Source organism: Homo sapiens, chromosome 1 (genome assembly GCF_000001405.40).
Source record: "Homo sapiens chromosome 1, GRCh38.p14 Primary Assembly".
NCBI classification, from domain to species: domain Eukaryota; kingdom Metazoa; phylum Chordata; class Mammalia; order Primates; family Hominidae; genus Homo; species Homo sapiens.
In genome coordinates this window covers 99,801,483-99,811,066 of record NC_000001.11, presented here as the reverse complement: position 1 = coordinate 99,811,066, position 9,584 = coordinate 99,801,483, and the positions used below count along the sequence as shown (strand labels likewise).

At 40.3% G+C, this 9,584-nt stretch overlaps 1 annotated feature.

Moving 5' to 3' along the window:
• Nucleotides 1,293-1,793: an enhancer, noted in NCBI's record as "H3K27ac hESC enhancer chr1:100274830-100275330 (GRCh37/hg19 assembly coordinates)". NCBI's record gives its function as "activates a minimal SCP1, AML or CMV promoter by ChIP-STARR-seq in naive H9 embryonic stem cells {active_cell/tissue: H9 hESC(naive)}" and the evidence as "EXISTENCE:reporter gene assay evidence [ECO:0000049][PMID:30033119]".

Sequence of the window (9,584 nt, the reverse complement as noted above, 5' to 3'; positions counted from 1 at the left end):
TTCAGACCATAGCAATTCTAAACCTTGAAGTAATTCTTGATTTTTCCATCTCCTATTTTCACATTCAATTCATCCAATTCTGTCAGTTCTTCCCACAAATGTATTGTAATTCAGACCTCTTCACTTGTTCAGTTCTCCAAGTAAGTATGAATCACAGATATCACATACATTTTATGTAAGACTTAGAGTATGTCAGGGGCACACTTGGTTCTCTTGCTGAGGCACACTCCTGCACCCATTTGCAGTGTTCTTCCTTTCTAATAAACTTTCCTTTTTCAAACCTAAAAAAAAAAAGAATATATGTTTTATTGTTACCTCTTAAAACCACGAATTGTGTTCAGAAAACTCCACTGGTTTTCATCACACCTGGAGTAAAATCCAGAGCCCTTGGTGTGGCTTGCAAGTCTCTACACAATCTGGTTCTACTTCTCCCTCTGACCTCATCACCCACCACTCTTTCCTTTTCTTTCTTTAAACTTTTATTTCTTATTTTTAAAATTTTCTCTGTGAGTCTAGCAAATGATCCCATTCTCACTGTACTCCAAGCAGGCTGGCCATGTTGCTATTCCTTGAATGTAACAAACATGCTCTTGCTGTTTTCTCATTCTGGAATAATCTTTTCCCCATATTTCTACATAGCTCACCTTTTCAATTGATTCAGATCTTTGCTCATATTAACTCCTCAGGTGATTACATATTATTGTGATTTGTATGGGTATATAGTTGGCAAAAGATAATGTTAAAAATTTACCAACGCTTGGGCAGAAATGGTGGCTCACACCTGTAATCCTAGCAGTTCGGGGAGCTGAGCTGGGCAGAATGCCTGAGCTCAGGAGTTGGAGACCAGCCTGGGCAACATGGTGGAACTTGGTCTCTACAAAAATACAAAAATTAGCTGGGCTTGGTGGCGCATGCCTGTAGTCCCAGCTACTTGGGGGACTGAGGTGGGAGGATTGCACCTGTGGTCCCAGCTACTTGTGGGGCTGAGGTGGGAGAATCACTTGAGCTTGGGAGATAGAGGCTACAGGGAGCTGTGTTTATGCCACTGCACTCCATCCTGTGTGACAGAGTGAGACCCTATCTCAGAAAAAAAAAAAAAAAAAAGAAAGAAAGAAATTTACCAACCCTCCAAGACTAGCCAACTATTGGACCATTGTCATTTATATAAAACAAACACAACCATTTTAGATTTGATGAGGCACTTTCAAACTCTTTGGCCCATCTATTAGCAAAAGGGAATGTTATATTACCTAGAAAAAGAACGTAGCTGGGCACAGAGGGTCGTGCCTGTAATCCCAGCACTTTGGGAGGTTGAGGTGGGAGGATAGCTTGAGTCCAGGAGTTTGAGACCAACCTGGGCAATATAGTGAGACCTTGTCTATGAAAAAAAGAAAACCTAAACATATAAGGAACTTTCACTTTTGTAACACCAAACTGCCTTTGTAGAATATCTCAGGATTAAACAAATTCGAACAGTGCCAGTTATTAACCCCTTTGGATATGGACTAATTAAGAAGATATGAGACAATCAGAAAAGGTCTTATTAAGATTTCTCGGTTTATACATAAACTCAGATAATAAAACCTCTCTCGTAATACAACTTTGGAGCACTCAATTCTGTTGAGTTATCTCCTCTTTTATTAATGCCAGATCTAGTCACTCTGACTGGGTAATGCTAACTATGGAATTCTGTACAGTGTACGTGTGAATATATGCACTGTATATATATGTGAGGCATGCCTATATGGTGTTAAGCCTTTATCCTTAATGTCTCTCATTTGTGGAAATAATATTCCTTCTTTTATTTGACACTTATTTTCCCCTGGGATTTCCCCAGTGGTATCAACTCTGAACTAGGCAGGCTTCACAGCAGACCAAGTATGACATTGTTTTAATTAACGCCACTCTGAAATATTTGGCTGTGAGTACTTGATAAGGGAAGGCTTCATAAGTATTTCAGGAGGTCTCATTCTCCCGCCTTAAGACCCTTACTACTCTTCTAGGAATTGGGGGAGGAATACAGTGAACTGTCTATGTCCTCACTCTTCAGTGGTAATACTTTATGGGTAGTGCTTCAGGGATGAGTGTGTGGAAAGATTCTAGTTACCTCCCCCTTTCCTTCCAGCAGTCAGACAGAAAGGAAAACGTGGGTGGCCATATAGGGAGATAAACTTGCTCTTCCATGCCCTCAGTTACACGTAACACTTAAAATTTCTTGGCATCTACTGCCACCGTGTGGTTATTTACATTTACTGACTTTAATGTGTTTCCCTTTTAAGGCTGGTCCGAAACAAAAATACAAGGAATTCTAGTTTGTTTTAGTATCCTTCAGCCTCAGATTGTTCCCAAGTCCCTCTAGGTTCTCTGTGCTCTTACACTGACGAGAAGATTCCACTACTAAATACTTTCTTCTTCTCTTATGTTACGCTCTACTAAAGCATGCTGCTGATACTCCAGTGACTTTCAGAGTTTTTGATGAACCAGTTTGAGGCAGAAAGATTCTAAAATGGGCTCCATATGTCCCTGTCCCTGATATTATGGCTTATGTAATCCCTTCACAGGAGTGTGGATGAGACCTGTGACTAGCTTTTAACCAACAGAATATGGCTGAGGTGATGGGATGTCACACTGCAATTACACTGGACAGTATTGTAACTTCTGTATTGCTAACAGACTCTCTTTTTTAGTTTTATTTTTTAATTTTTGTGGGTATAGTAGGTGTATATATTTATGGGGTACATGAGATGTTTTGATTACAGGCATGAAATGTGATATAACCACATCATGGAGAATAGGGTATCCATCCCCTCAAGCATTTATTCTTTGAGTAACAAACAATCCATTTACACTCTTTGAGTTATTTTAAGATGTGCAATTAAGTTATTATTAACTATAGTCACTCTGTTGTGCGATAGCACAACAGATAAATGATAAAATAGGTAAATGATAAAATAGGTCTTATTCATTCTTTCTATTTTCTTGTACCCATTAACCATTCCCACCTTCTCCCTGCCCCACACACTATCCTTCCCAACCTCTGGTAACTGTCCTTTTACTTTCTATGTCCATGAGTTCAACTGTTTTAATTTTTATATCACACAAATAAGTGAGAACATGCAGTGTTTGTCTTTGTGTGCCTGGCTTATTTCACTTAGTAAAATGATCTCCGGTTCCATCTGTGTTGTAGTAAGTGATGGGATCTTATTCTTTTTATGGCTGAATAGTATTCCATTGTGTATATGTATAACATATTCTTTATCCATTCATCTGTTGGTGGACACTTAGTTTGTCCAAATCTTAGCTATTGTAAACAGTGCTGCAGCAAACATAGGGGTGCAGATATCTCTTCAATATACTGACTTCATTTCTTTTGGGTATACCCAGCAATGGGATTGCTGGATCATATAGTAACTCAATTTTTAGTTTTTTGAGGAACCACCAAACTGTTCTCCATAGTGGTTGCGCTAATTTACATGCTAGCAGACTCTCTTGATCGCCTTCTGGGTTTGCATGCATGAAGCAAGCAGCCATGCTAGGGAGACTCAGTGAAAAGAAACTGAGGGTGGCTGCTGGCTGTCAGCTGCAAGAAATTGAGGCTCTCAGTCCAACAAAACACAGGGAATTGTAACAACCACATGAACTTGGAAGCAGATCATCCTCTTCGGTTGAGCTTTCAGATGAGATCACAGCCTTGGCCAACACCTTGATTGCAGCCTGATGAGAGACCTTGAAGGAGAGGACCCAGTTAAGCTATGCCCAGATTCTGTGAGCTTATACAGACAGTCCTTGACTTACTATGGTTCAACTTATGATTTTTGTGACTTCATGATGGGACAAAGGACGTTAAGTATTCAGGAGAAACTGTATTTTGAATTTTGATATTTTCACAGGCTAGTGATATACAGTACAATATTCTCTCTCCATGCTGGGCAGTGGCAGCAAGCCACAGCTCCCAGTCAGCCACACAATCAGAAGGGTAAACAACTGGGTACTCTACAGTGTACTGTGTTTCCAGATGATTTGGCCTGATAGTGGGCTAATGTAAGTGTTCCAAGCATGTTTAAGGTAGGCTAGGCTAAACTATGATGTTCGGTAAGTTAGATATATTTAATGCATTTTTGACTTACAATATTTTCAACTTATGGTGGGCTTATTGAGATGTAACCCCATTGTAAGTTGAGGAGCATCTGTAAATGTGAACTGTTTTCAGCCATTAAATGTGTGGTAATTTGTTACACAGCAATAATTAATACACAGTTCTTTGGTTTTACTTACATCATTCCCCTCTTCCTAGGACTGCAATATAAGTCCTTGGAGACTGTTTTTGGCAATAAATATAATTGTCAAACACCATTCTTTGTTCAGAATTGTCCCTTCTCTCCCACCAAGGCTCTGTTACTGAATCAGCTTGTGCCTGATTTCTTTAAAATAAGTTCTCTTTCAGGAGCTATCTCAACTCCTCATACAAAGAAAGTTTTGTGGGGCCTGCATATATAATCTGCATTCTTAATTTAAAAAAATGTTTCATTTGCGTGGAACACCTGTCTAAGAGCATCACAGTGGTGCCAAAAGGCAGGGGTGGAGAAAGGGATTTACTCTTCTCATCACAGATATTCAACTTGATCCCAAAATAAAACCAGGAGTTTTTAAAAGACGTAAAACTCAATAAATGGTATTGGATGGACAGTTGTGCTATGTCAATGGCATGCTTCTGAGAAACCAGTTTTAATAAGGAGGTTAATATAAAAGAGGTTAACCTAGAGTGATTATTTATGGACCAAGCTGCTCCTAGTAATTACCATTTGTTTTTCTCATGAAACATTATTTAGTTTATTCATTTTAGAGTTTGAGCTTGCTATTAAGCTCTGTTGCTTGTAAAATTTAATTTACTCTTTTTGAAAACCAGAACAGCATTTATTCAGCTCTGGCTTATAGACTTAAATATATTTAATCCTGAGAAATTCTCATATGTTATCCTTTTAGCATAACTGAAGCAAGTTTGGTTGTGAAGCGTGTCCAATTTCGACCAAAAAGACAGTGGGTAAGGGGAGGAGGATAGTTGATATGCTTTGGCTGTGTCCTGACCCAAAATCTCATCTTGATTTGTAGTCCCCATAATCCCCATAATCCCCATGTGTCAAGGGTGGGATTGGGGGAGGTAATTGGATCATGAGGGCAGTTTCACCCATACTGTTCTCACGACAGTGAGTAAGTCTCAACAGATACGATGGTTTTATAAGCATTTGGCATTTCGCTTGCTTGCACTCACTCTGTCCTGCCACCCTTTGAAGAAGGTGCCTGCTTTTCCTTTGCCTTCTGCCAGGATTGTAAGTTTCCTGAGGCTTCCCCAGCCATGTGGAACTGTGAGTCAATAAAAACTTTTTCCTTTATAAATTACCCAGTGTCGGGTATTTCTTCATAGCAGTGTGAGAACCAACTAATACAGTAGTTCTGTGCAGAATCGATCAATTTATAGAAATAGCTCTTGATGGGTAACTTGCTGTCCAAAGTAAAGTATGCTCCAGTATTTGACCCTAAACCAGACTATTTCTCAGTATGAACTTGCCCACGCCGCCATCTTCTGATACTTCAGTCTTTATTCCCCACCTCTCCTCCACCTCTGGTTTGGCATCTCAGCACAAAGAAACCTCCGTTGTTCAGTGAGGTGTAGAAGACTTAGACCAGAGGCAATATTTGAATTCAGATGAGGTGTCATGGTGGTTTCAAAAAATCCTTTTGGTCATGAGAACTCCAGCCAATGACTGAGGTGTGAGAAAGAGGATCTCATATCCCAGAGAAAAAGCTTAGAACAGGCTACAAAAGTTATCATGGTAGGTCTCTAATGTTTCTGTAGAATAGTAGGAAGGGAGGCCCAGGCTAAAGCCCAGGTGCACAAACAGGGTCAACAAAGCAGGGACAGAGGCTGGCACAGCCAGATTACTTATGGAAACACATATGCCCAGGGCACTTTGGATATTAAACCTAGATTTAGATCCTACTCACTGGAAAGGCTGAACTCCCGATATATTCCTGCATCTTTGATTAGCCTCATAGAAAGATGGGACTCAGGTAAATCCTTAGAGCACTAAGACAGACATGGAAAAGGCAAAATTGGGGGTGGAAGGAGGGGCAAAGACTGACCTCTCAGAAGACCCAGTGTGTGCTAATTTATGTGGAGCAGTAGTTGGATTTAAGGATGGAGATTCAAAGATGTGGATGGATTATTAATTAATTAATTAGCCCAACAACTGTTTTTTGTTTGCTAAGCAGAGGAGTCATAAAGTCTAGTAAGACCTAGATCTGGCCCACAATGATCTTATAGTCTCAAGTGGAAAGCAGATAAGCCTAATTCATCAACTGATGAGATGATAATGGAGCTGTGTTTTGAAGGACAGGAAGGAATTGGGTAGATGAAGATGACGGAGAATCCAGAGGAAACATTAGGTGGGACAGTCTGGAGACATGAAGCTGCCTGAAACATCTGGGGCACTGCAAAAAATTTTGAATGATGGGAGCAAAGAATGTGTGTATGCAAGTGGCAGATGATGCCAGAGAGGTAAGCAGGGTTCATATTCCACAGGGTTTTGAGTGATATGTTATAGAGCTTGGACTTGATCATGAAAACAGGAGATTTAAAATATGAATGCTATTTTAAGCAGGCAAATATTTTAATCAGAGAAATTATATGATGATTTGTGTTTTAGAAAGATACAGCCATTGTTGTGTTGTGGATGGGTCAGAGAGGGTTAAGATTAGAGGCAGGGAGACAAGTCAGGAGGTAAGAAGCAATGAGGACCTAAATTAAGATAGTGGTAGTGGGAATAGAAAATCATGAAAGAATATGAATAATTATGGAGGTATTTTTGATCAGAATTGATCAATGAAACATGGATGCTAAGTGAAAAGAGAAGACTATGAATAATATCAGGTTTGTAGCTTGGAGAATGGGTGGTTGGAGAAATAGAGTTGAGAGTGGAAGTCTGAGAAACATTAATGTTTAAAGCCTAAAATTTAAGAGTATAAGAAGAAGTCCATGTGGGAGCCTAAGTACAGGATGTCAGAGCCATTGGAAGAAAGCTAGGAGAAAGTGGATACACCAAAGCTGAGAAAGTAAGTGTCAAGAAACCTGGAGTGAGCAATAGTATCCAATGCCACAAAGAAATCAAGTAAGATGAAAGGAAATTATAACTTGAGTTGAAGAAGGCTGTGAGTGGAGCAGATTTGGAAGTAGGGGCAATTAAGAGGTCAATTTCGGACATTCTGAGGTTGAGAGGTCTATTAGAGGCAATAGAATAAATGAGTAGAGAGCTGAGCAGAGGAATTGGGGCTAAAGATATCTTTAAGAGTTGTGGACATACAGATTTGTTTACAGTCATGAGATTGAATATAATTTTCAACAGAAAACATATAAGAAGAGGAGATATTCAAGAACTAAATCTATCCTAATATTAAGAGGTCATGGAAAAATTGAAGAGCCAGCAAAGGACAAGAAAGATGAACCAGCGTGGTTTCAGGTTCACACTGAAAGTGTGGTGTCCTGAGAGTCAAACGAAATATGTCAAGGAGGAGGAGACAATTGATGATGTCAAATCCTCCTAATTTGTCAAGTAAGATAAGCAATTTTAATTTAACGAAGCAGAGGGCATTGTTAGATCAAAGTTCTAGATCAAAGTTCAAGAATCCTTCAACTAAAGTAGTTTCCATGAAGTAGTGAGGATAGACATATATTTGGGTGGATTTAACTGAGTATAGGAAAAGAAGAATTGGAATCAGGGGATGTGATGGTTAATTTTATGTGTCAACTTGAATGGACCATAGGAGCCACAGTGGTTGTTGTTGTTGTTGTTGTTGTTGTTGTTTTGGCAAAAGGGTCTCACTCTCATTGCTCAGACTAGACTGCAGTGGCACATGATCTCAGCTCACTACAGCCTCGCCTTCCAGGGCTCAGGTGATCCTCCCACCTCATCCTCCCTAGCTGCTGGGACTCCAGGCATGTGCCATGACGCCCAGCTAATTTTTTTGTATTTTTTTAGTAGAGACAAGGTTTTGCCATGTTGCCCAGGCTGGTCTTGAACTCCTGGCCTCTACACACCTCGATCCCGAAGTGCTGGGATTACAGGCAGGAGCCACCGCACCTGGCCAAGATTAACATTGGAATTGGTAGACTGAGTAAAGCAGATTATCCTGCCCAATGTGGGTGGGTCTCATGGAAATCCACTGAAGGCCTGAAAGGAACACAGGGGTGAGTAAGGCAGGATTCTCTCCCTGCCTAATGATTGTCAAGCTAGGATGTCAGACTTTGGACTGATACTCAGACTGGTACTCATACCATTGGCTGTCCTTTGTGCTGACTATAGATCTTGGGATATCTGTCTTCATAATCACATGACCCAATTTCTTTTTTTTTTTTTGAGTCTTACTCTGTTGCCTAGGCTGGAGTGCAGTGGCATGATCTTGGCTCACTGCAACCTCTGCCTCCCAGGTTCAAGTGATTCTCCTGCCTCAGCCTCCTGAGTAGCTGGGACCAGAGATGAATGCCACAGCTAACTTTTGTATTTTTAGTAGAGATGGGGTTTCACCATGTTGACCAGGCTGGTCTTGAACTCCTGACCTCAAGTGATCCGCCCACCTCGACCTCTCAAAGTGCTGGGATTACAGGTGTGAGCCACTTCACCTGGCCCAATTTCTTATAAGCTTCTTTATATCTATCTATTTATATCTCTTAGCAGTTCTGTTTCTATGGATAACCCAGACTAATACAGATTTTGATACTGAGAAGTGAGGTGCTGCTGTAACAAATGCTTAAACATGTGGAAGTTGCTTTGGAAATGGGTAATGGGTAGAGGCTGGAAGAGTTTTAAGGTGCATACTATAAATATAGATATTAAGGGTGATTCTTGTGAAGTCTCAGATGGTAACAAAGATCATGTAGGAACCTGAAGGAGAGGCAATCCTTGTTATAAAGAGGGAAATAACCTGACTGAATTGTGTTTGTGTTCTAGTGTTTTTTTGGAAAGTAGAACTGGTAAGCAATGAAACTGGAAATTTCCCTGAGAATATTTCTAAGCAAAGTGTTGAAGGAGTATCTTAGTTCCTCCTGACTGTTTATAGTAATATGTGAGAGGACAGAGATGAACTGAAGAAAGGATTGTTAAGCAACAAGGAACTAGATCTTAAATATTTGGAAAATTCAGCCTATTGATATTGCAAAAAATGCAAAAACATATTCTGAAAGGAACACCAAGGGTGTGGCTGGACTTTCACTCAATAAAGAGTTTATGATATTATAGGAGCAGAAGCACTGTCAGCTTGAACTGAGGGATGGAGGTTGGACAAAATGAAGAAAGGATATTTGACTTCTTAGATTTTGAAAGACAAGACGATAGAGCTATCTGGGTATAAACGTGCACTGTTCAAAGACAGAGAAAAATTGCCCTGAAGGCAATTCAGAGATTATCACGGTCACCATTCAGTTTTAAAAGGCCAGGTGGCCTCTGACCAAAGCTTGGGAGCCAGGACCTCTCTGCAGAGCTGTGGGGCCAAGACCACCATGTACAGCCTTAGGGGGATGACCCCCTCACCCC